Here is a 27,686-nt window from a genome sequence, read left to right on the forward strand (position 1 = left end):
GTAAAAAGGAACCAGGTCCATGGCTGATTTCTATCTGAGTGATTTCAGGTGCATTCCTGAACTTGTCTCAGCCTCAGTTTCCCCATCAACCAAATGGGTATAATTAATTTACTCAATTAATGTCAGCTGAGCACCTATTAGGTACCAGGCACTGTTCAGTGATCAAGACAGACATAGACCCTGCCTTCTTGGGACTGACATTTTAGTGGGACAGGCAGACATTAAATAGATAGCACATGTACAATTATAATATAAAAGCAATAAGTGATGAGAAATAGGCTCAGGGCAGGGGAAGGACAGTGACCAGGGATGTTTTTTACAGAGGGTGGCCAGGAACAGCTGCCCTGGGGATGTGGCCTTTGAGCAGAGACCTGAAGGAAAGGAGCGAGGGAGTTTTGGAACAAGTGGCTGAGGGAAGCAGTTAGGTCCAAGGCCTTAAGGCAGGATCGCGTTCGACCTGTTCAGGGAATGGCCCAGATAGCAGCTAGGGTGGCTGAAGGAGGAGGAAGTGATGCTGCAGTCTGGGGGATGAGGGTAGGGCTTGGGCGCCCGCACCCGCAGCCTGCCCAGAACACTTCCCCTTTACACCCGTTCACCTGTGTGTTTACTAATTGGCACCCCCTCGCTCTTAAAAGTGAGTCTGAATGGCAGGGTCAGAAGGGCCGTGTTGGCCGGGGAGCGGGAGCCCTGGGAGGACGTGGAGCAGAGGAGGGATGTGGCCTGACATAGGTATTGATAGATTCCCTCTGACTTGTTGGGGCAGGAGTAGAGGGAGGAAGACCAACGAAGAGGCTGCTGGAAATCATCCTGGGGGCGTCAGGGGCCTGGACAGGGGCAGAGACTGTGCTGGGAGAGCTGTGTTAACACTGTGGGGAGCCTGTGCAGCTTCCTCCTGGGGTACTTAGGAGGCACAGGTGAGTGGCAGGGCGCCATGGCGTTCCCTCGGCACGACACTCTACAGTTTACTGAGCACGCCCTCACTGCTGGGTAGGGATTGGCTGGGATCCTGATCGGCTGCTTTCTGGCTGGGAAGACCCTGGAAGTCAGACACGGAAGGGACTGTGGAGGGGCCTGCCTGAGATTCAGCCTGCATGGCTGCCCGAGATGTCTTTGGAAAGAATGTCGGTTGCTCTGGCCCTGAGCCTGTGTCAGGCTGTGTTGTGACAAATCCTGATTGATGAGATACATTGGTTTCAGCCCTAGTATGTTCACGTGGCCCGTTATAAAGCTTTTCAAGAATTTAAAATAACTTTTATAAAGGTGATATGTGCACATTAAAAACATTGAAATAGTGCAAAAATACTTTGCAAAGTGCATCCCCCTCCCCCACACAGGCAGCAACTGCCACCAGCTTCTTGTGTGTCCTGCCAAAAATAGTGTGTGTGTATTCAAGTACAAATGTGTCTCTGTCTCCCTCCCTCTTTACACGGTAGGGAGCATGTCTCATGCACTGTTCTTCACCTTGCTTCTTTCCTGCATTTTGTCTCCAGGACCGAGCTCCTTAGTAGGACACAGAACTTTCCTGTTTTACACCGCTGCATTGTATTCCAGTGTGTGCCTGCTCCACAGTTTACAAGCTCCTCTTGATGGACATTTGAGTCATTTCCAATCTTTCACTCTACAGACAGCACTGCTTGAGGGGGGTACTATGTCTCTGGCCACCCATGCAGATGTAACTATAGGAGGTAATCCTAGGAATGGAATTGCCTGATCAAAGCAAACGTCCCTGGATGGCACCATGAGGTCCTACAAAGGGACTACCACCAGCAATGGAGAAGGAGGCGGAGGACTCATTTTCTTTGTTGTAGACTCCATAGCTGGTCAGCTGCCCCGAACAAGTCAGTGTGGCAGCCTCCCATCAGTATTGGGCACCACTGGTTTGACCAGCATGGTGGTAGGAGAAGGGCAGATGCTGTTAGATGAGCTGGCTGCAGGCTGGGTATGGTCAGAATCAGGGCTCTGGAGTATTAAGCTTCTCAGCCAGCTTGCCCTGAAGAATCAAAGGAAAGGCTGTCTTGTGACTGGGCATCTTATCAGCATATAAAGCCCTTGTCCTTGGGATGTCCAGGGTCTGGTGGGCAACACAGACATTTCCCCAGCGTGGGACAGGACAGCGGAAGACAGACAGGGGCTCTACAGTGAGTCTTCCAGAACCTCAGGGAGGCTTCCTTTGAGACGGAGGATAGTGCACCTGGTGGGCCTGGGAGATGGTGGAAAGGTGCTCTTCCTCCTCTCCTGGTGCTGCCCATTCACAAGGAAGTCTTGGGCCACTGCCCAGCCTGCCCTGGCTTTCACTGAAGGTGCTGAGCCCTGCAGAATGAGGAAAGGCTTTTTGTTTTAAAGCCGTGGCAGGCGCCAGATCCACATGCTTGGCAGGGCCCCAGCTGGGATGTGGTTGGCCGCCAGCCTGCCCTATAGGGATGCCCCCTGCCCCAAGGTGCCAGGTGATCCCAGCATATAGCAGAGGACTGAAGAGATTGTTAAATCAGCATATAGCAGAGGACTGAAGAGATTGTTAAAATTTAGGCTCTGTTTTCTCTTAAAACCAGACCAACAGTGTAGTGGAGTAGAGAGAGCACTGGTTTTGGAGTCAGACAGGTGTGGGCTTGGGGTGGCAGCTCTGTGTCACCTGCTGGCTCTGTGACCATGGGCAAGTGGACCCACCAAGCCTTCATTTTCCCTATCTGTAAAATGGGGTGAATGGCCTCTACTCCTGGGATCAGATGAGATAAACTGAAAAGGCCTTGGAAAGCAGGTGGTTGCTGGTAGCTTTTATTTCGTCCATCAGCATTATCATGTTGACATCCCTGGTGCCAGGGGGAGCCCACTGATGTCGCTGTGACCAGCAAGAAGAGGGCAAAGAAAAGCTGTCCTGTCTTATGGCTGTTAGTGGGAGTATTTCACGGATCGGTCCTACAGTGACATGTGAACTTGCTGTCCTCCCAGTTGAGTCCATTCATTCACTCATTCACTCAACAGGTCTTTATTGAGGTCCTCCAATGGGCCAGATGCTGTTCTAGGTGCTGGGAACACAGCAGTAAACTAAAGAAAGGCCTTGCTTGAATACCAGTTGAGAAGGGAATCTTGGATTTATTCAAAGTCCTTATGTTGAAGCTTCTCTAAAAAAAATAAAATAAAAATGATAAAGGGTCTAGCCTGGTGTGTGTTCCGAGAACCAGAGCCCTGACTGTGGGGGTAATCCCACGGACTGGCTGAAAGCTTGGGATGTTCCAGAATGCTTCCCCAAGAGCATCCTGGGCAGGAGCTGTTATTCTCATTTTACAAAAGGGGAAACTGAGGCACAGAGTCACACTTCACTCCCTGCCCCTCCTGCATGGGAGTGTGACCTTCAGACAGGGAGCTGACTCCCATTAGAAGGAAACTCAGCTTCTTCCAGGGGTTCGCAAACACCCTGGAGCATGCAGACCCTGTCTCTTGTGGCCAGCAGCCTGTGGTGGACAGGTAACCTGGGAGGCCCAGTGGGCAGGGCCGATGTCTCTGTTCTCAGCGTGGCTGTCCTCGATCACTGTTGCAGCAGTCAGAGCTCTGGGACCATGGGTGCCACTTCTGGGCATCAAGTTTCATGGCCTGGGCTGTCAGTACCCTGCATCGCCCTGGCCTGCTTTCAGATGCTGTCATCCATAAGAATGTCTGGGAGTAGGTACTTGTGTGCTTGTTTAGCAGGGCAGCAGGAATCAGCTCGGATTGGTGGGAGGCTTAAGTCTGGACTCCAAAGACCCACGCTCTGCCGTGTCATCCTGGGCAGGGTTGGTGACTGTCCCGTGCCAATTATCCTTAAAACCGTTTACCTGCCTCTCTCTGAGACCCTCAAAACCCTGGCAGGGCAGGGGAGGAAACCAGCATTGCTTAGGTGCCGGCTGTGTGCCTGAAACTTCCCTGGGCATCTGAACACCACAGTTAACATCTGCAAAGGTTTATCAAGTGCTAGCTGCATCCCAGACCCTGAATTTAGGACCTTGTGTGACTTACATTTTAGTGAGAGATCCAGGTTACACAGGGATGAATAAAATAATAAGGGACAATATTGGGGGAGGGCAACACTTTATAGACGAGGAGCCAGAGGTCTGGGAAAGTTGGCTAACTTCGTTCTGTCAGTGACGGAACAAACAGTAGAGCTGAGAATTGAACCTAGTGTTTGGCCCACGGTTGGCACTGAAGAAGGTTCTGCTGAAGTCCCAACAGAAAATCAGTGCCCATTTCACAGATGAGGAAACTGAGGCTCAGGGGTTCCTTAACTTGCCTGAGGCCAGACTAAGTTGAACCTGGGTTTGCCTGAATCTGGAGTCTGAGTCTATCCTTTTCTTTTCTTTCCAACAACTCTGTCTCAAGACAAATGGGGATTCCTGGGTTTGGAAAGGTGAGGTGACTTATGTAAATGCAGCGCCTCAGGTGGGATTTGACCCCCAGCCTGTTAATGTCCGAGCCTTGGCTCTCTCTACTCCAGGGCCAGGCCCCTCACTGACTCCTGGCTCTGTGTTTGCTTCAAGGCGCAACGTGCTGAGCTTGTCCCCTGGAATCGACCACCCAGGCTCTCTGAAATGGGACCTCGCTCTCTGCCTTCTTTTAGTCTGGCTAGTGTGTTTCTTCTGCATCTGGAAGGGCGTCAGGTCCACTGGGAAGGTAAGTTGGACTTCTGTCCGTCCCCTGCCTCCTGGAGAGCTGTGCCAGGCTGGCCCTCTCCCCCACTTCCCGCCTGCAATTAGCCACGCCCCAAGAGGGAGGTGGCCAGTGGTGGCGTGCTGGTAAGCCCGCCCTCTGGAAAAAAGTAAAACTCAGGTTTGTTGTAGCGTTTGTCCATTTCATGGTGTCAGTGCTCCCACCATGTTTGCTTTCAAGCTGTCCACAGTTTAATGACCAGCTCACAGAATTCCTGAATATTGAAGAGCCAGGCTCTCAGGAGCCTACACGAGCTAGCCCCATCCACCACAGCTTTCTCATCTCAAGGTATTGGCAGTCAGTGCAGATGGTAGCAGATAACTAATGTTGGGCTTCTAATAAATAGGTTAGCTGGTAACAGGAGGTTAGCCAGCAACCGTGGTAAGAGCCATTAGCCACAGCATGGACCCTCGCTTTGCAGAGGGGGCCACAAGCATTCCCATCAGCATTGCAGGGAGCTTCGTGGGCCTGCCCCAAACCTACAAACTCCAAGGCTGCGTTGTAACATTATCCCCAGATAATCCAAGAGCACTTTATGGGTTGAGAGGCACTGGCTTAGATTTTAGCTGCTAAATCAGATTAACTGAGTTATAACTAACATTTCAGCCGGCACCTCCAATGTTAGTTGTTCAGGAAAGCGTTAGCTGATAATTAAATCATCCACTCATGGCCAGGGTGTTAGCTGTTAACCAAAGTATTATTCATAACTGGAGTGTTTGCTGCTGATTAATATGTCACATAGTGACTAGGATGTTAGTGATTAACAAATGTAAAATGTTAGCTTGTAATTTTAAGGTTTTAGGTATAACTGATACATTAGCAATAGTGGAAATGTTAACCCATAACTGAAATGTTACCTGTTACTAATTAGAGCTGAACTGTTCCCTGAAAACCTAGACACTGGCTGTTGTCATGGCTTTGCTGATGCCAAAGGCTGGTGCGGGGGTATGTTGTGATCACAGGTGTGAGCCTGAACCCAGGGCCCTAAGCTATAAAGAACAAAGGCGTTTGCTCATCTGCCTTTAGATAGTGCCCTGTCAACGCTTTCCCCAGTGACTCACATCCCAAAAGAGGGAACGTCTCTTTAAGATCAAAAAACCCCCAAAAGTCAAAGGAGCGTCTTAAGGTAGCATTCCAGATGGAGCTGTGGGCAGTGACCTTAGCTGCCCCAGCCACACAGTGGAATTGAGGGTTGAGGAATGTGTCTCCCTGGATAAAGAGCCCCCAAAGAGGCAAAATCATAGATTTGTAGAGATCCAAGTAATTATTCCAGTCACTTACCCTGCAAGACCTGGGACTCCAGGGTTGCAAGAGGTAGAATGGGGGTGATCCTGTGCACCCCCCTCCAACACACACAGTGCCCTCTGCTTGTTTCTTGGGGCAGAACCACCCTGCCATCCTGAAGCCAAGGGTGGAAGGGAAGCAGTCCAGGCCTTGGACACCTGCCCGTGCCCACCAGTGAGCACGGTCCTGCCCGGAACAGGCGGGAGCAGGGGACATGGGTAACTCCTGCACCTCCTTGGAGAGCACCTTCACTGTGCTACCCCGGTTCTCTGTCTCACAAGCACACCATTTTATTCCTTTCTTTAAACAATGAGAAAACTCAGGCTTAGGGAGGTCAAGTGACTTGTCCAAGGTCACTTCCTCCTCTCTGAGCCTCAGTTTCCTCCTCTATAAAATAGGTGATAGTAGGGTTAAAATGAGGTGTGTTAAACACCTGGCACAATGCTTGGCACAGACGGTTCTGTAAATGCTAATTCTCTTCTTTTTTTTTTTTTTTTTTTTTTTTTGTAATTTGAGGTGGGGTCTGGCTCTGTTGCCCAGGCTGAAATGCAGTGGCTTGATCTCAGCTCACTTTCTGGGCTCAAGCCATCCTCAAACCATCCTCCCACCTCAGCCTCCTGAGTAGCTGAGACCACAGGCACATGCCACCATGCCCTTCTTCACTCTGCCTCAGTTTCCCCACACAGAAGTGAGAAAGTTTCTGTGGAGCACTGGTCCTGAGCAGTGCTAGAGACATCATCACTTACTTACGCACTAGTATTTTTTGAGCCTCTACCGTGTGCCAGGTGCTTTGTAGAAACAGGGCTGGGGGACATGCAGTGGTTCACAAAACAGACAAAAATTCCTGTGCTCCAGGAGCTGATGGCCTGGCAGGAAGAGTCAGGTTGTAACAAAACGAATGGGAAAAATATATAGGAGTCAAATGGGGATGCGAGCTATGGGAAAAAGTCAAGCAGAGAAGGAGAATGGGGAGTGTTGGGAGCAATTTTGAATAGGGTGGCCAGGCAAGACCTACCAAGAAGGTGACTCTAGGCAAAGATGTGAAGGAAGTGAAGGGCTGAGCCAGGTGAGTATGTGGAGGGGAAAATCTCCAGGTAGAAGTGACAGCCTGTGCAAAGGCCCTGAGGTGTGTTTGACCCAGACCCTTGGGGAGCACCCAGTCTGATGGAGGAGGCTGATGTCCGCCAGGGACAGTGAGCAACTTTTGAGACATAATGCAGAATACAGGAGAATAGTGTCAAAGCCAGAGAGAGGGTGCCAGGCTGCAGCTGTGGCCGAGCAAAGACGTGATCTTCCACGGGTCCTCCCTTCTCACCCTTAGCAACAACCTCCTTCGTGGGGTGGCTGTAGGCCTCCCAGGGGTGGGCGTGATTCCCAGAACAATAGCAGAGCCTGGGCCAGGCCAGAGAAGCCAAGACAAACACAGTCAGGCTCTGTGAACTTCCTCAAGCCCCATGGCTGAGAGGCTGCCTGCTCGCTGGCCATGGCTTCCAGCCCTGGCCACAGACCAGGTTTGTGGCTGACGTGGGGGCTGGGCCCACAGGCAGCAGATGGACCTCATCCTGCCAAGGCCCTGCTCTCGTGTCTAGTCCAGCAAGGAGGAGTTGGAGGGTAATGGAGGGAGAGCCCCAGCCTGAGAGGCTCAGGATCTGAGTTCAAGTCACTTTGCCTCTCTAGGTTGCAGTTTCCTTTTTTGTAATTTTCACTATTCCAGGAAGTTGAAACTAGGCTGCCATTAATCCATTCAACAAATAGTGATAACGGTGGCGAAAGCGCAGTAGCCTGTGAGTGCCGGGCAGCATTCTCAGTGCTGCTAGGTAGCTCATTGAATCCTCCTCATGGTTTGGAGTATGTGCAGTTATTAGTCCCATTTTACAGATGGGGAAATTCAGGTTCAAGGAGGCTCATTACCTTGCCCAGCATCCCACAGCTTGTCAGTGGCTGTGCTGGGATTTGGACCCAGGCGGCCCCACTCCCGACCTGGGTGCCCCACACTCTTCCGCCTCTTGTGCCCACCCCCGTGCCAGCCTGAGGATGCAGTAAGTAGGGCGTGTGGCAGGCATGTCCCTGCTGTCACAGAGTGGGGTCTGGGAAGGGGGCAGAGATCCAGACACTCACACAGGAAGTGCAAGCCCTGCAGACGCACAGGGGAGGAGGCCCCGGAGTGAGCATGGACATTCACTGAGGCTGGGGCTCTTCGCTGTTGGCCTCCGGAGCAGCTCTTTTTGCCTGGTTAAAAACAAAGCAGGGGGTAGTCAGAGCCAGGTCCTTTTAGCTCTGGATCCCCCAGACTGCATGACTTTGAACAAGGCCCTTTCACTTTCTCAGCCTCACCTTCCCCTTATGTGAAATGAGTTAGTGAAGCCCCTCACCAACAGCCAGGGCGCTGAGGATCCTTAGGGCCTGCCTAGGATCTCTGGGATCAATGGCGAGCCCTGCTGCCCAGGCCCTTACCTCCCAAAGGATGCCTGGCTCCCCCTGCTGCTGCTGCTGCCCAGACACTTACCTCCCAAAGGATGCCCGGCTCCCCCTGCTGCTCAGCCACCCTCTTTTCTACTGCCCAGAGGGGATGGAGAAAAGTTGTCCTTGTGAGTTTCCTGGACAGTTGGGCCACAGGGCTTTTGGGTCTAGGGCTCAGAGGAGCCACGGAGGTTCACCAGCAAGAGTGGAAAAATACCACGTCCCACAGCAAGGCCTGCTGGGCCACCACCAGAGGCCCCTGGCAGCAGCTAGCACCAGCCTGTCCCTTGGGGATCCCGGGGGAGCCACAGAAAAGTTGAAAGCATGGCTCTCAGGGGCTTGTCCTCGGAGCAGCAGATTCTGCAAAGCAAGGGTGGCTTTCAAACCTGCTACTGTAAACCAAAACCCATCTGAGACAGGGGGCTCGATGAGCTTAGAGGTTTATTTTGCCAAGGTTGAAGATGTGCTCAGGAAAGAGACTGAGCCACAGTAGGATCTGTGGCCTGCACTTTTTCCAAAGAGAGTTTTGAGAACCTCAGTACACTAAAGGGGAGGCCCAGCACAGTAGCTCACACCTGTAATCCCAGCACTTGGGGGAGCCGAGGAGGGCAGATTGCTTAAGTTCAGGAGTCCGAGACCAACCTGGTCAACATGGCAAAACCCTGTTTCTACTAAAAAATACAAAAATTAGCTGGGCATCGTGGCGCGTACCTGTAGTCCCAGCTACTCAGGAGGCTGAGGTAGGAGGATCTCTTAGGCCCGGGAAGTTGAGACTGCAGTGAGCTTTGATTGCGCCATTGCACTCTAGCATGGGCGACAGAGACCGTGTCTTAAAAAAAAAATGTAAGGGGAAACAGCAGGAAGGGACAGAGGAACAGGTAATTCAGGTAATTATGCACGATGTCTCTCAGCAAATCTGCATTTTCCATAGGGTAGAGAACACACACATTTTCCATAGGGTAGGGTGTGTACACACGGTGGAGGAAGGAGACACATGCCTAGATGTGTGGGTGGATGGCTCATTTCTTGTCTCTTTGTCCGGCACCTGTGAAGATGAGCTGTGAGTTTACATTGTCAGGGTGAGGGAGGCCGCCTGGGGAGATACGTGGCCTGTATCTCACAACTCTCTGCTGAAGAACAGAAAGCAGGCCGGTTTTGTGCGTGTGTGTGACTCACTTCCCAAGCTTAACTTTTTCCTTCTGCATAGTGAGTTTGGGGTCCTGAGATTTTATTTTCCCTTCACACGGCTGAGGTGGCGTGACCAGGATTTGGGGAGGAACAATGACACACATCCCAAAGGTGTGGGGACCTGACACCAGCTGGCCTGGATCCATCCCGCATCCACCACCAGTAACTGTGATTGCAGGCAGGTGCCCCCACCTCTCTGGGCAGTCTCCTCATCTAGAAAATGCAGGTGAGGCTGATGCCTGGCTCTTCTCAGTTGTCTGAGGATTAAATGAGTTAAAACTCACGAAGCCCTTAGCTGAGTGCCCCGCACAAAATCCGCACTGCATAAGTGCTTGTTAAATAAACTAACTACGTGAAAACAAAGAAAGCCACCTCCACACCCCTGTCCCTGACACAAAGCCCTCTGGTCACAGACCACTGGGTTGCTTGGCCCAGTGGAGGCCTGGCTGGCTTTGAAGTGGCCGCCCTCTGGAGACCCCTGCGGGGCTGCTGTCAGCAGCTATTGTTCGCCAGCCCGGGTGTGGCCCACAAAGGGCCCCAGAGGTGGGAACTGGTCGGGGCGCCTGGCCGCCTGTCCGCCTGTCCTCAGGAAGGGAGAGGCAGGTTGGTTTTCTTTTTTCACTTCTTTCCCCCCTTCTGTGGCTTCCTGATGTGCCCCCGCCCTCCACGTCTGCCTTCCCATCCTCGGGAAATCATGTAGGCTCCTGGCCTCAAGGAGAAGAGATGACGGTGGCTGGAGAAACTGAGGCCTGGAGGAACAAAGGACGCCCGGGGGCAGAGGCAGCAGTAGGGCCCAGCCTGTCAGTGTCGGAGAGCCATCCTGACAGTGCCGGCCAAAGAGGCTTCTTGAATGCTCACCGCAGGCCAGGGGCCATCGAGCAAGGTCAGCGTTCCCTTATCCTCAGTGGACAGATGGGGAAGCTGAGGCCCAGGTCACCAGCAAGGGGTGGCAGAGGCAGCGTGCAACCCCTGGTAGAGGTGGCTCCCCAGCTGACCCACAGCCTCTCTACCCCTCGACCTAGAGTGGCAGAGTGGGAGGCAACCTCAGAGCTCCTACGGTCCCAGCCCTTTACTTCCTGGTGGGGAAACAGTCTAGAGCGGACAGCGGCTTCCTGGAGGTCTCATGGCAAGCCAGCCTCTAAGCTTGGCTTCAGACCTGAGGGCCTCCCTACTGGCTGCCCTCTGGTCTTGGGGAGAATCAGTAAACTGCCAGTTGTGGGAGGCTTTTTGCTGGTCTGCTATGTGTGGGCTGTGGGGCAGGTCCCCATTCTGTTGCTTAAGCCCACGTGACCCTGGGCAAGTGATGGACTCTCTCTGGGCCTCAGTTTTATTGTTGCAAAATGGAGATAGTAATACAACTTACCTCAGAGGGTTAGGGCACGGGCCAGTGAAAATAGACGTCACAGCATTTGGAACAGTGCTAGGCACACAGTAAGTGCTCAATAAACGCTGCCTAGGGGTTGTTGGGCTGAGGGCAGCTGAGCTAAGCAGGCCCTGAAAGCTTCCTTTTTGCCCTTTTCCAAAGCCCCTTTCTCATTGTTTCTACTCAAAGGGATCATGGCCACAAGAATTTGCTCTGTCGAGGGTCGTGGTGCCAGCTAGGTGAGGTTTGGGGCTCTGTCACTATTGGTCAGTGTCTGTTACATACTTGGGCCCCAGCAGTGCCCTGGCACTGCACCCCCAACTCCATGGGCACATTTGTCCTGTTCTCTTCATCTCAGTTTCCTCTCCTGTAAAATGGGTGCATTGACTGTGCAGTGGTTCCTCCAAGGTCCCCTGATCCCCAGATGCGGCCCAGGGCTCTGCCAACCAGTCTCAATGTTTCAAGGTGGCCACCATGAACTTTCTGCATGTCGAAGTAAAACACTTCATGCCTTTCTGCACAGAGGTTAGCCCTCCACAGGCTCTGGGTTCAAATCCTGGATTCCGTTGATGCCCTGGGCACGTCCTTAAAGCCCACCAAGCCTCAGTTTCTCCACTGTAAACCACCGTCCTGGGGGGCATGGTGAGGATGAAGTGGGCTTGTGCCTGGGACGTTCCTACTCAGCCAGTGCCCTGCCTGAAACACTAGGATCGAACTGTCCATTCAGCCAGGCACCTTCGAACTCCTCCCAGGCATAATCTCTGTCTGGAAACTCCTTGTGTTGAATAAGATGGGAAAATCCATCCATGAGAACTGAAGCCACAAACAGCGCTTGCAGGACAAGAGGAGAGAAGGTCTTTGGGAGGAGATGGCCACATCGTTTCTAGTCCCCACCTCACACCTGATCTTGGCCTGTCTGGAACATGCAGTGTGACCCAGGGAAGGCCATGGGTCTCCCAGAGGCCCGGTGAAGCGGGGAGCCTTTCCTATTCCCAGTTAAGGGCCTTTGAGAGGCCTCATTTTCTTCCCTGAAGGTCTCGTCCTTCCAGCAAAATCAGTGTCAACAACAGGCCCTCTTTCTGGAGCACCTACTGAGTGGCAGTGTTACAAGCATCATCCTATTGAATCCTCAGCTCACCCCTTGTTGAGGGGCTTCTATTACTCTTATCTGAATTCTACTCATGAGGAAACAGGTCCAGAGAGGTTAAGCAATGTGCCTAAGATCACACAGCAAATGAGGGGACGGAGCTGGGATTTGAACCCTTGCTTATCTGATCCCTAACCATAGGAATCATACCAACATTGTAGTTAGTTGTTAACTAATATGACCTGCATGCAATGGGCACATGCCATGGTTGGCAACCACTGGGCTGAGGCTTCTACACACGCACTTGATAGCTTACTCTCTGATTTTGCTTTTTCCACCTCTACGCCCTGGAATGTCAGTTCCACGAAGGCAGGGATTTGTTTTCTGTCTTATCCACCACTGTATTTTGTGCTTAGATGGTGCCTGGGACAAACTATTTATAGGATGTTTTTCATTTAATCTCAGTAAATCTGTGAGGTGGGCTGGCGCTGTGGCTCATGCCTATAATCCCAGCACTTTGGGAGGCTGAGGCAGGTGGATCATTTGAGGCCAGGAGTTTGAGACCAGCCTGGCCAACCTGGTGAAACCCCATCTCTACTAAAAATACAAGAATTAGCTGGGCATGGTGGTGGGCACCCGTAATCCCAGCTACTCGAGAGGCTGAGCCAGGAGAATCACTTGAACCCAGGAGGCGGAGGTTGCAGTGAGCCGAGATCGTGCCATTGCACTCCAGCCTGGGTGACAGCGAGGCTCCGTCTCAAATTTAAAAAAAAAAAAAAAAAAAAAAAGAAATCTGTGAGGTAGGTACCTGTATATACCCAGATTACAGATGAGGCAGCTGAGACCCAGAGTGGTTAAGCAATGTGCCAAAGGCCGCACAGCAAGTAAGACAGCAAACCTGGCTCCAGAACTCCTGATCCTGACCAGTGCTCCCCTCTGCCTCTCTGAGAGGATGCTCAGACTTAGCAGCAGCAAGTGATGCCCATGGCCTCCTGAATCCCTCTCGCCCTTGCAGGTCGTCTACTTCACAGCCACTTTTCCATTCGCCATGCTCCTGGTGCTGCTGGTCCGAGGGCTGACGCTGCCGGGCGCGGGCGCAGGCATCAAGTTCTATCTGTATCCTGACATCACCCGCCTTGAGGACCCACAGGTACTGTGGGGCTGGGACACACCATCCTCCCTCCCATCCAGGGCTGGGCCGGCACAGGACAGGGCAGGATGTAGAGGCCACTGGCAGCACATCTTCCGTGGTTCTTCAGTGCACAGGTCTAGCTGGGCCACCGCCCCCTGGTACTTTTCCACCGGGCCTGTGGCGGGTGTGCCTGTCCACGGTGCTGATGGACCTTTCTAGCTGTGTGCATCTCTTTTCATGTCAAGGACGTCTGAGGGTGGCCACTTAGAGAGGCTGCTTTAGGCCCTGCACCAAGGGGGAGAAATCTTCTGATGAGCAAGTCTCCCGCTCGGACCCAGCTTCTGCCCACTGCAGCCACAAGGGCTGCTGCATCCTGGGGATGGGAGAGTCGGGGCCTGGAGAGCTGCGGGCTTCCTTGGCTGAGGGTGGAATTCAGAGTTAATGGCCTTGGAGGGTCCACGGGCAGATACCGAAAGCACACCTTCTGGCACTCAGCCTTGTGACCTTGGGGAGGTGGAGAAAGCCCTGGGAGATTTTCTGGGTTTGTTTGAGGACCTGAATCCCCAGGGCCTTCCGGTTGCTTCCCAAGGGCCTGTGCTCTCCTTCCCCACCACCCTTCCCCCTGGACAGGACACAGTTGTGAGAGGGGTTGGCCAGCCTTGGAGGACAGCTGGGAACGAGCTGCTTAGTGAAGATTCTGGAGAGCAGCTTTGCCTGCATAGTTCCTTGGGACCTCCTTCTGCATTCTAACTCGGGGGTCTGCAAACAGTAACAACAATGGTGGTGACAGCAGCCTTGACTTACGGGCTTGCCATGTAACTGGCACTGGGCTGAATCGCCACTCTTTGAACCTGGGAAATAGCTCTATGGGGTAGGGCAAAGGAGCCCATTTTATAGATGTGAAAACTATCTATAAACTGCAGGAGTGATATTTACTTGCCCACTGTCATTCCAGGGTTGGAATCCAGATCCATCTGCTTCTGAATCCTCTTAACCCTGATGCTAGGTCGCTGGGAGGTGGGGTGTTTGATTTCTGGGGCTCCTTGCAGCTCAGTACTGCCTTGAAAGGCACCTTGGATTCGAGCATAAATGTTCCATTTGCATGTGCAAGGTCCCGTCCCCAGGCCATCGCCAGGTGGACATAACCCTCGCTGCCTCCTCCAGGAAGCCAGCTCTGACAGCCCTCCTCTCTTTCCTTGCCACCTCCCTCCCCCTCATAGGTGTGGATTGACGCTGGGACTCAGATATTCTTCTCTTATGCCATCTGCCTGGGGGCTATGACCTCGCTGGGGAGCTACAACAAGTACAAGTATAACTCGTACAGGCAAGTGTTGCGCCGGCGGGCCTGGTGGACTTTAGAAATGATGATGATGATGTTTAAAGAAAAAGAGAAGTAGGGAGCGTGGCTTCCTTGTGTTGTGAATTAACTTGCTCCCTGACATATGTGTAACTTAGGGACTGTATGCTGCTGGGATGCCTGAACAGTGGTACCAGTTTTGTGTCTGGCTTCGCAATTTTTTCCATCCTGGGCTTCATGGCACAAGAGCAAGGGGTGGACATTGCTGATGTGGCTGAGTCAGGTACGGTGGTATCGGTGGCAGTGGTGGTGGGCACTGCCACCTAGTGTGTAAGCCAAGTACTGCAGGCATGAAGCCAGACCCCAGGGGGCTTTGAGGGGGGACGAGCCTGGTTTCTAAAATGGACCCCCCCCCCGCCACCAAGATATCCCCCAAATTTCAAAGAGTACAAAGCCAAATTTTAAACATTTGTATTGCAATTTGGCCCTGATGGGTGGCAAAAGCATGGGGGGTGGTTAAGTTGGGGAATTTTTAGCTACCTTAGTGTGGTCTTCCCCGCCCCCCCGTCCTTCCCCAGCAAACTCCTGGTTTCCACAATAGAAACCACTTTCCTAACTCAGGCCCAAGTCAGCCACCAATCGGCATTCCATCACCACCTTCTCAGCCTTGGTTTCTGTATTTTGCACTTTGCTCCCAGCGTGCTCCCTCTAAGCAGACGCATTCATCCATCCCACCGATTTCTCGTGAATGAGTCCCAACTCTGTGTCAGGCACCACCGTAGGCACTGGGTGCAGTGTGTGGGGGGAGGGCGTAGATGAGGGGACGACCTACTGGGACGGTGGCAGATCCAACTGGGGGTGGGTTGTAAGCACAGTGTCGCCCCTCGGGGTGTGGGCCCTGTTGACCAGGCACTCTTCCTCGGGCTACCTGGAGTCACAGGCATGGAGGATGCCAGTGGCTTAGAATCACGGACTCTGCACAGACGGGGAACTTAGGAATCTGGGATCCCAGAGTTCCAGCAAGGTGCTTCTGGAACCTGAGAATCATGGGGCCTTCAGTTGCTAGAATCTGCAATCTCTCAGGTGCCTCGATTCTGGGACTTGGCCATGGCTGCTTGAGGTCCTGGGTCTGTAGCTTTAATTGCAGTGGCTTGGGTTATGGGATTCCCTCAGGCTCCCAGGATCCTCAAAGTCCACCTTTCCGACCTCTCCACCCTTCCCCGGCCCTGCACAGTTTACTTGGAGGGTGGTCATCAGTTGGTTTTGTTATTTTACATGCTGAGCCCCCAGCCCCACCCCGTCCATGTCCTAATTTCATACAACTTCCCTGGGGCTACCTGGAGGTGGCAAGGTCCTGGGCTGAGGCTCCTTCCAAGCCGAAGGGAGAGCGTGGGGGTTATTAACTTCAGGGACCACCATAGACTAGGGCCAGACACAGCCGGAGGCCCTGCCATTCCACTGCCCTTGACCTCCTGTGCCATCTGTATTTGGAACATGAGGCGATGTCCCAGTCCCTGAGTCCTAGAGCCCTAGCACTGGGGGGTCAGAAGGTGCCTCAGCATCGCGTGTCCAGATGTTCCCTTCTCAGATGAGGAGACCAGCAACCTGAGAGCAAGGGCTTTGCTTGGGATAGGTGGGGCTACAACAGGGCTTTCTGAACATCCTGTCCACTATTTCTCCACTTGTCACACGCTGGACAGGCCTTCTGACACAAGGGTGTCCCCCTCCTGCCATCCAGCCCACCCTGGACACATGCAACAACCTCTGGCCCTTCCAGTGTGAGAATTTGGCCCTTGTGACCTCCCAGAGCCCCTGGCCCCTCCTCACTGTCTTCTTTGCTTGGCAGAGATGCACACTGCCCAGCCCCATCCTGAGACCCCTGACAACACTGCAGGACCCCCTTGGCAAATCCACATGTCACCCCCACACACCTCTCCACTGTCCCTGCTTCCAAAGTGGACCCTCAGATGTACTGTTCCCTCCACTGAGCCCAAAGAGCCCCCAAAAGCAGGCCAGAGACTGAGGACACAGAATGTAACTCCAGAAGTCCCCACGCCCCTTAGGGAGTTTGGCAATTAGAGTGGTGAGGGGGAGCCAGAGATGATTTATACCTCCTCTGTAGATGGCTTGCTTTCAGCTGAGGGCTTGCAAACCAATCGCAATTGAGTGGGAATCTCCAGGAGTATGGAGTGAATTTGGCAATGGGAGATACAGATAGATACATACAATGTATCTTCCTCCATGGACAACGAAGTATTTTCGTAGACACATATATTGTCAATCTCAGTTGTTTTTTCCTCCCGTCCACTTCAAACACCTTGTCATTTATTCCCCACGGTGATGTCTGAACAGCCGGCACATCAAGGGTGATTATTTCTCTAATAAGCTTTTAACAAGCACCATATTGAGTGAAGTGCATTTGAACAAGATAATTATTTAGCCTAACAGAGTGCAAACAAGACGTGGCATGGCACATTGTCTGCTAGCAGAGAGGCATCCAGAGGTTCTCGGAGTGGCTGGATTATGTCTCCTGGACTTCTCTCTCTTGAGTTCACCATGCACTTTTAGAGAAAGACGCTCAGACCCTCTCCCAGAGGCTCGCTTGAGAAAGGCAAAACTAAAATACAGAAACGAGCGAATTGAGAATCTTCACAACGTCCCTGGTGGGTTGGGGGTTGTGGGGGCCCATTTTGCATCTGTCTTGCAGCTGGCTGGACTCGATTCCTCATTCAGTGTGGACCAGTCAGGGCCAACGCTGATGTTCTGTAGGGACCAGTGGGGCCCCGGTCTGGGTGGAAACGCCGCGGCTTTTGACTCCAACTTCAACTTTGATTCAAAAGTCATCTCACCGGGTCCTGGGGTCCATATTTTTCTGAACCTGGCCCTGGTTCTTTTGGGCATGTTCTGAGCAGTTTTGGGCTTGGTAACCCCCGCTCCTGATGGGGGTCTCCAGCATCTCAGCGAGCAACCACTCTGTCGCTGCCCAAGGATATATTTTGGTCAGGTTTTCTCTGGATTGTAAAAGGACACACCCTTCCCTGGCACACTGGGGGTGTTAACACCGTATAATGTGGTTTCTGGTTCCAATTTATTGTAAAGTTGGGTTTTGCTTTTTGTTTTTCATTCTTGAGCCATTCGTCTGGTTTCTAATCCCTGCTGAACAGCTCCTGCTCTGGCCCTTTTTGTTTCCTGCTTCTTGACTTTTTTTTTTTTTTTTTTTTTTAGTTGTAGATTTTACTTTCTTTTGCTGCCCTCGCTTCTCAGACCCACAGGTCTCAGTTAACAATTAAATTATTTCCGTTGGCATCCGCTTTCAGGCAGGCTGGAGACAGGAGGAGACATTTCTCTCTGTCTCCGGAATGTCTCCCATCAGAGACATCCCCTGAGCTGACAGAGCTCCCATCTCCCCAGCTCTCCCTCAGGTTCTATCCAAGTCCCTTCTTTTGAAACCCAGAGCCCTTTTCTAGTGACATGGTGTCTACCTCTGAGAATCTAAACACAGGAAGGCTCCTTGTGAGTCATTTATGGCCACCTGCCCCTCACTTTTCAGGTGGGGAAACTGAGGCCCTGAGAGGGTATGGGGTGATTCAAAAAGGAAATTGGAAGAGGATGACTTGGATGCAGGCCTCAGGGCTTGCAGGCCTGGGACCTTGCCCCTGCACCCATGTTCCCTCAGCTTTGGGCCCTGGTTGGCCCAACCTTGACCTCATGGGCTTGGCTCTGACCTTGCCAGGGAGAGCCCCACAAATGCACCCCTGAAGAGACAGGCCTCCTGTTGGGCGTGGTTTTGTATTGGTTTTTCTTTCCACTCCTATGGTGTTTTAGCCATTAACTCAAAAATAGAAACTTTCCCTTTGCAAAGGAGACTGGGCGGTCAGGTCACCACCACGCTCCCCCGCCTCCTTCCAGCAAAGGCTGTCCACTCAATGGCTTTGCTTTGGGGTGGGAGGATCCTCCCTTTCCTTTGTCTCTGCAGACCAAGCCCTGGGCTCAGTCTGCATCCTACCCCAAATAACCACGCCCCGATGGATGCTGGTGTGTGAGGAGGCCACGTGTGCTGTGTAGGAGACAGATGCTAAAACCGGGCCCCTCCTGAGCCCCAGCGTGTCCCACCCAAAGGCGAGACAGGCCTGGTCTCTTTCCCCAGGCCAGAGTTCAGACCTGGCTCCCTGCTGTATTTGGGTCTGAGTGTCTTTGTGTGAGCCCAGGGTTCCCAGTGGCTTGGTGGCTGATGTCTCCTCCCCTGTGCCCCTCCCCGTTTTCTTTCCTTTCTAGGTCCTGGCCTGGCCTTCATTGCCTACCCAAAAGCTGTGACAATGATGCCGCTGCCCACATTTTGGTCCATTCTTTTTTTTATTATGCTTCTCTTGCTTGGACTGGATAGCCAGGTGCGTATAAGGGATGGCCCTGGGGCGACTGCCCCTGTGGGGAACCTGACTCTGGGAAAGACTCCTTATTCCACCTGGGAGGTGGTCAACCCCCTTCCCCCCTCCAGTCAGACTTCCAGTGCTTCAGCTGTGAGGGTTCCTCCAGGACACCAGGAATAGAAAAAGCTCTGCGTCCCCAGAAAGTGCATTTGAACAAGATAATTATTTAGCCTAATGGAGTGCAAACAAGACGTGGCATGGCACATTATCTGCTAGCAGAGGGGCATCCAGAGGTTCTCGGAGTGGGTGGGTTATGACAGGGACAACCAGGGTTTGTGGTTACAGTCAAGCCACAAATGACGAATTGGAGGTCATGACTCAATAAGTCATGATGTGCTCCAGTGGAGCGTCGGCGGGGCACAGGAGGACATGGCAGATGGGCGATTCGGAGAAGGGACCCACATTTCTGTGTGAGCTGATCATTGTCTGGGCCATCGTAATAAGTTGCAAGTGCCCAGGAGAAGCCTACGCCACACTCAGGATTCTGTGCTCCCTGGAGCGTGCGAGGGGCTGGGCATTGGCTCCCTCCCGTGCTTTATACACCGCACAGGCCGGGAGCCTCGCTCAAACCCGCCCTGACCTCTGGCTGTCCTGGCTTCTCCCCTCCCAAGGCAGGACTCCTGTCTCCACTGAGGTTCTTTCCTGCACTTCTAAACCCCGTATCCCACCCCTTCAGGGCTCAGGCCTCCACTAGAAGGTGACTCATGGCCAGGGAATGCCAGTGAGAGCCGATGAGTGGCTGCATCTGGCTGTAGAGTAGCCAGTGCCTAGTGTGGGGTAGTCAGCAGTGCTCGGAGGACAATTCACTTGAGCTCCTGGGCCCCTTTCCCTGGAAATAGGTGTATTTTTGACAGGGTCTTGTTGAAACAACAGTTCAGAGCACAGGCATGACTCCAGGAGTAGGGATTTATGGCATGTGGGACAGGCTGGTTGTGTGCCCAGCCCAGCATGAGCCCCTCAGGCAGCGCCATGCACATGGGCCACTGAGAAGCAGGTAGGATGTAGACTGTGTAGTCTGGGTCTGGAGGTCTGAATGCCTCTTGGGAAGCCTTTGAGCAACTGAGACCCCCTGAGAGGTTGGAGCTTGCAGCCAGGGCGGGAGAACCCTTTGTCCCCCTCCCCGCGGGCCGAAGTCTTCAGAGTCATTGTCCCAAGTGGGTCCCCAGAACCTGGTAGGGGAAAAGTCTCTGAAGGTCAAGCAGAGGAGGGTGAGTCCAGGGAGAGGAGGCGGCCAGCCAGCAAGGTCAAGAGCAGAGCAGGGGATTTGGCAGAGAAGGGGGCAGGATTAGCAGAGAAGACAGAACGAAAACATCAGGGAGACGGAAAACAAAATACTTCTGCAGTTGTTGATAGACTTGAGCTGAATAAACAAGCAGGAGGACTCCATTAATCATTCCTAGTTAATGAGTTTGGCCTTCAGAGGCCCCAAGCAAATGGCTTTTATAACTTCTTCCAGAGCTCTAAGTGAAAGAAAAAAACAAAAACAGAGGTTAATAAATGACAAGGCATGACATCTTCATGGGCCCAAAATAGGCCACTTGGGCTTTGGAAACGGCTCCCTGAGCAGGTGGAGGTGGTCACTCATTAGATTTTCTCCCCAGGAAGTGGGGCCTGGTGGAGGACACGCATCTCTCAGGGAGGCCCCGTGTCAGTGGCACACGGAGAGAATCTGGTGGGCTCTCACAGCCACTCCTCCTACTTTGCAGAGCGAGGAACTCAAGGCTCAGAGCAGTTAGATGACCTGCCAGGGACAAGGGTAGAAATCGAACCTAAGTCACTGGTCTCCCAGGCCCCATGTCCCAGGGAACCAGGATGGGAATCTGATCGCACAGGTGGGGCTTCCTCCTTTGCATCTCTTTGCTTTGTGAACTTGGGGAAATGGGGAAGGTTTTGCAGATGCCAGCAGTGTGCCTCACCCACTGCCAGCACTGTGACAGGATCAGAGCCCTCTGCCGTAAGAGGTGTTCCCTGGGTGCCGGTCCTCATGGCAGGCTTCTGTGTGTGCGTGTGTTTGGGGTGACCACACATTTACCATCTAAACCAGGTTTAAGTGCACAGTTCAGTGGCATTAGTACCTTCAGACATTGCGCGGCCATCACCACCGTCCGTCTCCAGAACTTTTTCCTCTTCCCAAATGGAGCCTCTGTCCCCATTCAACACTGACTCCTAACTCCCCAGTTTGCCCTCCTGCCGGCCCCGCACCTGGCTTTTTGTACATGAACTCCTTAAGCTGCAGTGTTGCAATGCCTGGGTACTATTTTTACCCTTCTTATAGCTGAGGAAACTGAGACTTAGAGAGACCAAGAACTTAGCCAAGGCTCCACACAGCTAGTGAAGGGCTTGATACCAGGTCTGCCTGTCTGCAGAAACTGTCTCTTACCTGCTAGTTTGTCCCAACTGGCCTTCCCCTTGAATTCCCCCAAAATAACTTCCTCCTGTTGGAAGTATGGAGATCTACAGCCCAGAGGCAGAGGCCTCCCGCTGATGTTATTGCGTCCTGGGCAAGGGAGCAGGGGGTGTCACCCTGACTCATCAGGGGTTCCTACCATTGGCGGGAACAGTCCGTCTGGCCTAAGAGCCATCATACTGCTGCGCCTTTCTTGGTGAGACAGGGTAGAGGAGTCAGCCATGTGGAGGCAGATGCCTGTTGCCATCCAGGCTACCCAAGAGGGACACGGTTTTTTGTTTGTTTTGAGATGGAGCCTTGCTCTGTCGCCCAGGTTAGAGTGCAGTGGCGCAGCCTTGGCCCACTGCAACTTCTGCCTCCTGGGTTCAAGTGATTCTCCTGCCTCAGCCTCCCAAGTAGCTGGGATTACAGGCATGTGCCACCATACCTGGCTAATTTTTTTTTTTTTTGTAGAAACAGGGTTTTGTCATGTTGGCCAGGCTGGTCTCGAACTCCTGACCTCAGGTGATCTGCCTGCCTTGGCCTCCCAAAGTGCTGGAATTACAGACGTGAACCACTGCACCCAGCTGGGACATGGTTTTTTTTAACAAATTGTGAGAGGAGATGAGAGTTGGAACCCACTCCTCCTGCAACCAAAGAGCTCACCCAGCCCGCTGACATGGGTTAACAGTTATCTCCCACTTGCAGATTTACTCTAATAATTTCAAATCTTTCTCAACATCCCTGCCAAGTGGACAAGATCCTCCCATTTCACGGAGAGGCAAGTGAGGCTCGGAGAAGCCAATCACACAGCTGTTAAGCGACGGAGGGCTGAAGAGGCTGGTGGAGAAGGGCAGTGTTCTCTGGAAGCGGCAGGAACTGAGAAATGGGGGTTTGTGCTGGTCTTGGCCCTGATTCACAGCGACACTGACCTTCCTGTCTTTAATTTCCCCATCTCAAAAAAGGAAAGAACCTTTGTTTTTAGCTCCTTTTGAAGCTTAAGTGTTTGAGCTGCCGGTTTGCTATAATTCGGTGGCAATTTAGGTTCAAAACCCCTGCGGCAGACACATGAGTCAGAGGTCAAAAAAGCAGCCTCTTCTCTTGGATCCCTCTTGAGAGCCTCCTGCTCGTCTTTTCCCTTATTCCTGGTGGCAGTCTCATCTCTCCAGCCCTTGTCAGCACATGAAAGGGATTTCTCCCCGTTTGTGTTCCTTCCCTGGATTTTCCTGCAATGCGTCCCAAAGGAGGAAGGGGTTAGATTTCTCTGGTAGGAATGCTGGGGAAACGTCCTTCCCAAAAGCCTCGTTCAGATGAAAGGACATCTGGGTCCAGGTTGAATAAGCTCTTCAACTTTTGAAGGAATCAGATAGGCCTTGGAGGGTGTGTTGGTTGGCAGGGAAGTTTGGGTGTAGCCATCCAAATTTAAAGTGCTGCTGTGTGCTCTTTAACCCCAAAGCTTCTCTTTTAAGACTGTGCTACATGCACAGATGCCTGCACACAGGAGGAGAGGAAGAGCTGAGTCTGGAGACCATCAGCTGGGCATTAGATCAATGGCGATGCCTACCCACAGGGTGGAGTTTTATCAATTAAAAAATGAGGCAGCTTTCTGTGTAATGATGTGGAACAACCCCCAAGATAAATGGTTAGGCACGAGATGGAAAGGTTTAGAAAGACTGAGAATTCCCCTGAAATGTTACCTACAGAGGGGCCTTTTCCAACCAGCTTCTTTTCCTTTGGGAGCCCAGGAAGGGGTTCCTGGAGTCCCAGGCAGCACACACAGCGTGTGTGCGCACATGCAAAGTCCTCTCATGGGCTTGTGATCCCCAAAGGATTGAAAGCCACTGTGTGAATCTGACCTGAACTGCCTGCCATTCCACTGATGGGGAAACTGAGGCTCAGACTTCCCCTGACCTGCCAAGCAAGTTGGTGCTAAGGTCCACCCATTCATCACATTTTCTGAGCAGCCAATGTGTCTGGCAGGGCTCGGCATTCGAGGCCCAAAAGTGAATGTGATACCACCCTTATCTTCCACGAGGATGGAGATCAGTGAGGGAGGTTGTCATGGCAACACATATATGCCCCTGAATGTGCCAGGACAGAGGGTCAGCATTGGCTTCAGAGGCGCAGTTGTTCTCAAGCTCAGCTTTGGAGGATGGGGAAAGGCATTCTGGTGGCAGGAACAGCCTGAGAGAAGATGCAGAGGTGTGGAATATTTGGCCAGCTCGGTGTGGACCACCGAATGTTGCGTTGTCTGGCTCCGAGGAGTGGCAGGCGGGACTCCCCAGGCACAGTCAGGGAGGCCAGGCTTCCACACTTGGACTTGATCTCACAGGCCAATTCTGGACACAAGGATGGTCACGTCTGCTCCTGCATTGTGTGTTCCTGGGCCCTTCCCTCCGAGCAGCAGGCAAGGGTGGCCTGAGCGTCAGCCGCTCACCAGCTCTCTCTCTTCCCCTCCTCAGTTTGTTGAAGTTGAAGGACAGATCACATCCTTGGTTGATCTTTACCCATCCTTCCTAAGGAAGGGTTATCGTCGGGAAATCTTCATCGCCTTCGTGTGTAGCATCAGCTACCTGCTGGGGCTGACGATGGTGACGGAGGTAGGTGGCTCTCTCAGCTGTGTTTCAGGCTTGGTGCTCCAGTGCCCTCCTCAAGGCCATAGTGGAGGCAGCAGCTGGGTGAGAGGGCCAGGTAGGGGCTTCATCTCCCAGCCCCACCCAATTCAGGGGTCCTGCTTGGACCAACACTGGGGGTAGCACGAGGGGGCTCAGGAGCCCACAGCTGACCCAAACTACCCAATTATTTTGCCTGTTGCTGTGGCAACACTGTGACCACCCGCTGCCCTCTGTCCTGGGAAGAGGATCTTCAGCTGAAATCCATTTCACAACATCTCTGTTCACCCCTGACTGTGTGCCCTTCTCAGGCCTGGGGGTGGGGTGGAGACATTCTCAAGGGTAAACGCAGGCCTCCCAGGAAATACCACAGCACCACGTAGAGGTGCACCACCTTGCAGGTCACCTGCCACAGGACCGAGTCCTGGTGGGTATGGGTTGATAGGGGGCACATACACTATTCAGAGGGTGAGCAGGGGCCAGGAGGAGGGGCGATTTCAGATGCAGACAAGGGAAGCAAAGAGCAGAAGGGAACGGGAACGTCTAAGACGTGTCTAGCAAGAGGCAAGCCAGATGAGATAAAGATTGTACTAAGAATGGAAGCCTAGCATCAAAGCCAGGGCACGCTCTCTCCTGCATGCCCCCCCCCACCACCTCCCCTGTTCCCCAGGAACGGGTCCCATTTAACAGTTCTCCGAAAACCCAATTCAGGGCTTCACTTCACCATTTTTCCTTACCAGAAGTAAAAGTGTTTTTCTGGAGGTATTTGTAAGAACCCCCACCCCAGAAGTCAGATTTTAGGGCCACTCACTGAGCAGCTGGGTGACCCTGGAGTCTTCTCTGTCAGCTGCACTTGGTGTGAAGCACCTCCTTGGGAAGCAGGCTCCCGTGGACCCATCATTTTGCTTTCATTTATCTGTATGTGTGTTTTTAATTACATTTGTCAAACATGAAGTTGAGCATCTTTTTGTATATTTATCTGGTCATCAGAGTCTTTGTCCATTTTTCTCTTGGGTTTTTTTAATCTTATTGATATGCCAGAGCTCTTTGTATATGAAAGAAATTGGAGACCAGGTAGGAAATCGACCTTCTGTGGTTTTTTTCTTCACAGGGTGGCATGTATGTGTTTCAGCTCTTTGACTACTATGCAGCTAGCGGTGTATGCCTTTTGTGGGTTGCATTCTTTGAATGTTTTGTTATTGCCTGGATATATGGTGAGTACAGATTTTTTCATGTCCTTTCTCAAGGCTCTCCTTTGGGCTTCTCTACTTAGAAGCTTCAGAAGCAGAGAATACTAACAGAAATTCAATTTGAGTTGAACAGTAGGCCCTCCCTACCTAGACTACACAAATAATCTCACTGTAGCCACACTGAAGATCCTCCTGGTGCTAAAGGTGTGAGGTGTGACTGGATGTTTTCACAGTTTCAGAACTTGGTTGTGCAGGACCTGGAATACTCCTTTTTTATCTCCTTGAGGCCTTGGGTTTGAGTTTGGGCTGTGCCTAAGATTGCACACCTAGGGTTTGGAGTGTGCCTCAGATTGCCAGAAAAATACAAGATGCAGAGTTATATTTGAATTTCATGTAAATGTCTGTTTTTGCCACACTTGTATATCCATGGTGTGGAGATGCAGAGGCCTGGATCAGGTCCCAGAGACCCCACTCATGGCCCCTGAGCTGCTGCTGGCCTTGAACGCTGTGTCAGAAAATGTCCCCCTCTGTCTCTTGCAGGAGGTGATAACCTTTATGATGGTATTGAGGACATGATTGGCTATCGGCCCGGGCCCTGGATGAAGTACAGCTGGGCTGTGATCACTCCAGTTCTCTGTGTTGTGAGTTCCATTTCTGTGGCTCTGGCTGGTGGCCTCTTCTCCCTGGGGCTTGACATTTTCACCCGCTAAACCATCTTTCATGCAGCATCTGTTCAGCGTGGGCTTATAATAAACCCAGCTTCAGCGCTGCCTGGGAGAGGGGAGGAAGGCTGCTCCAGGGAGTTAGCTTGAGTTGAGTTTTGAAGGATAAGTAGGAATTTGTCAGGAGTAGAAAACAAGAAGGGCATTTCTGGCAGAGGAGCCAGCCTGTGCGGGGCCAAGGCATCCTAAAAGAAGAGGGTGTATCTGGAGCATGTTGAGAAATCCAGGGGATCCAGAATTGAAAGCACATTCTTTCCCCAAACCTTCCAGAGCGCATGAGCTCTGTTTGGGTCACTGGGGAAGTAGAGGGGCCTTTGGGATATCTAGTAGAGAGGTCATAGACATTGGAAATGGGGTGTTTCCATGGAGAGGTGGGGGTAGTAGCTTAGAGAGGGGAAGTCCTGGGTTCTCCCAAGGATAGGGAAGCTTTGGACTCACCCAGGCCCAAGGGTATCAGTGTGCCACGTTGTTCTTCCCACGAGGATGCTCTCGCCCACCATGTTGGAGTTGGCCTTGGCACCTGCCCATGCAGTCTGCTTCATGGTCGCACTCCAGGGTGCCAGTGAGTGGAATTCCTCCATGGCAAAGCCGTCAGGGTTTGCAATCACTTGTGATCATTGGAGCTTATTGCCAGGGAGACCACATCCATCCTGCCATTCACGGCTCCACTATGGGGAGCACAAATGGCCCAATATTCCTTGGATTTAGGAGACAGGTGCTGAGGACAAATAGGCCCTCCCCTCCGTGACCTGCTATCAGGCCAGACTAAGTCAATGTTGCTGTTAACTCATGATATGACCTCAAGCAAGTCACTTCCCTCTGTGAGCCTCAGTTTCCCCACTTGTAAAACCAGGAGACTGTGAAGGAGGACCCCGGTGGCAGCTGACGACCTTAGACTGTTACTGTTATTTAATATGCATATGAAGCCTTTTCCTCTGAAGTGCAGACTTTCTCCCACAAAAATAAGTAATGGTAAGAGCCAGTAACCACAACAATTGGTGAGTTTATCTTTGGAGATGAGTTTAGTTGGCCCACCTGTGTTCTCATCCTGGTTTAATGTTTGCTTGTGGGCAGCTCTTCTCAGCACTCTGACCCTCAGTTTCCTTATCTCTCTCCCTGAGGAGCTGGATACGTCAGAGATAGGCTGCATTCCCAGGTGGTGAGATGAGGTCACCCTCATGGAGAGGAATGGGAAACAGGCAGGCACTGGCTCAAGCTCCTCCTGCTTGGGAGGGCCCAGGGCAGCATCTCTTGGGACTCACTCATCTGAGCCACAGCCCTACACGTAGGGACGGGAACAACAGCAGGGCCAGACGTGCAGTTGGTGCCCAGTAAAAGATGCCTGCAGGCTAGTGCTCTCCCTTGCCCATCACCGACTCTGCTTTAGAAAGATGCATCTTCCTGTCAAATCCCAGTTACTAGGTGTTGAAGAGTTAGGCCATTTTCACATTATGGAACAATCAGAGGCCACCCTGGGCCCTCCTCAGAGATGCTGTCATTCTGACTAGAAGCAGAAGCCCCGGGAGCCCCGAGCCAGCCTTAGGTGCTCTTCTCACAGGGAAAGGTGGGCTTTGCTCCCTTTAGAGGCACAGGGCTGACCCCACCCCACCATTCATGCATGCTGATGGCCACTAGCCATTAGCATGGACCCAGGGCTGGGCTGTGGACACCGAACAGGGCAAGGCTCAGGTGCCCAGGCCCCTGCTGCTGGTGGCTCAGAGATAGACATGGAGGGTGGCAGTGGGGGAAGAAAGGCTTTCATCTACGCTGCTAGCACTTATGGTGCACTTGTTGTATGTACCTGGAGCTGCACTGGGTGTTAAAGAACTAGGACAAGACACACACATTCCTACTCTCAGAC

General features: G+C 52.4%; 1 protein-coding gene across 8 annotated transcripts in view, besides 6 other annotated features; it reads left to right on the forward strand.

Annotated features, from left to right (window-relative positions):
* The window catches only part of SLC6A6 (solute carrier family 6 member 6), an 86,774-nt gene that overhangs the window by 50,866 nt on the left and 8,222 nt on the right, over positions 1-27,686 (forward strand). For 5 of the 8 annotated variants that reach the window (NM_001134367.3, NM_003043.6, XM_011534030.2 and 2 more), the window contains 8 exons: positions 4,509-4,641; positions 13,075-13,209; positions 14,412-14,515; positions 14,647-14,771; positions 18,764-18,876; positions 23,764-23,901; positions 25,025-25,127; positions 25,644-25,744. In NM_001134367.3, the coding sequence (NP_001127839.2) occupies positions 4,509-4,641; positions 13,075-13,209; positions 14,412-14,515; positions 14,647-14,771; positions 18,764-18,876; positions 23,764-23,901; positions 25,025-25,127; positions 25,644-25,744 (952 nt within the window). Of the gene's footprint in view, positions 1-4,508; positions 4,642-13,074; positions 13,210-14,411; positions 14,516-14,646; positions 14,772-18,763; positions 18,877-23,763; positions 23,902-25,024; positions 25,128-25,643; positions 25,745-26,678; positions 26,798-27,686 lie in introns of those variants that run through there. The other 3 variants (XR_940495.4, NR_103507.3, XM_047448763.1) reach the window with 3 other exon arrangements.
* Positions 5,930-6,430: an enhancer, noted in NCBI's record as "H3K27ac hESC enhancer chr3:14500879-14501379 (GRCh37/hg19 assembly coordinates)". NCBI's record gives its function as "activates a minimal SCP1, AML or CMV promoter by ChIP-STARR-seq in primed H9 embryonic stem cells {active_cell/tissue: H9 hESC(primed)}" and the evidence as "EXISTENCE:reporter gene assay evidence [ECO:0000049][PMID:30033119]".
* Positions 6,916-7,437: an enhancer, noted in NCBI's record as "H3K4me1 hESC enhancer chr3:14501865-14502386 (GRCh37/hg19 assembly coordinates)". NCBI's record gives its function as "activates a minimal SCP1, AML or CMV promoter by ChIP-STARR-seq in primed H9 embryonic stem cells {active_cell/tissue: H9 hESC(primed)}" and the evidence as "EXISTENCE:reporter gene assay evidence [ECO:0000049][PMID:30033119]".
* Positions 7,438-7,959: an enhancer, noted in NCBI's record as "H3K4me1 hESC enhancer chr3:14502387-14502908 (GRCh37/hg19 assembly coordinates)". NCBI's record gives its function as "activates a minimal SCP1, AML or CMV promoter by ChIP-STARR-seq in primed H9 embryonic stem cells {active_cell/tissue: H9 hESC(primed)}" and the evidence as "EXISTENCE:reporter gene assay evidence [ECO:0000049][PMID:30033119]".
* Positions 7,960-8,481: an enhancer, noted in NCBI's record as "H3K4me1 hESC enhancer chr3:14502909-14503430 (GRCh37/hg19 assembly coordinates)". NCBI's record gives its function as "activates a minimal SCP1, AML or CMV promoter by ChIP-STARR-seq in primed H9 embryonic stem cells {active_cell/tissue: H9 hESC(primed)}" and the evidence as "EXISTENCE:reporter gene assay evidence [ECO:0000049][PMID:30033119]".
* Positions 8,285-8,334: an enhancer, noted in NCBI's record as "active region_19513". NCBI's record gives its function as "activates an Ori minimal core promoter by ATAC-STARR-seq in GM12878 lymphoblastoid cells {active_cell/tissue: GM12878}" and the evidence as "EXISTENCE:reporter gene assay evidence [ECO:0000049][PMID:35858748]".
* Positions 18,582-19,473: an enhancer, noted in NCBI's record as "H3K27ac-H3K4me1 hESC enhancer chr3:14513531-14514422 (GRCh37/hg19 assembly coordinates)". NCBI's record gives its function as "activates a minimal SCP1, AML or CMV promoter by ChIP-STARR-seq in naive H9 embryonic stem cells {active_cell/tissue: H9 hESC(naive)}" and the evidence as "EXISTENCE:reporter gene assay evidence [ECO:0000049][PMID:30033119]".

This window comes from Homo sapiens, chromosome 3 (assembly GCF_000001405.40).
Source record: "Homo sapiens chromosome 3, GRCh38.p14 Primary Assembly".
NCBI lineage: Eukaryota > Metazoa > Chordata > Mammalia > Primates > Hominidae > Homo > Homo sapiens.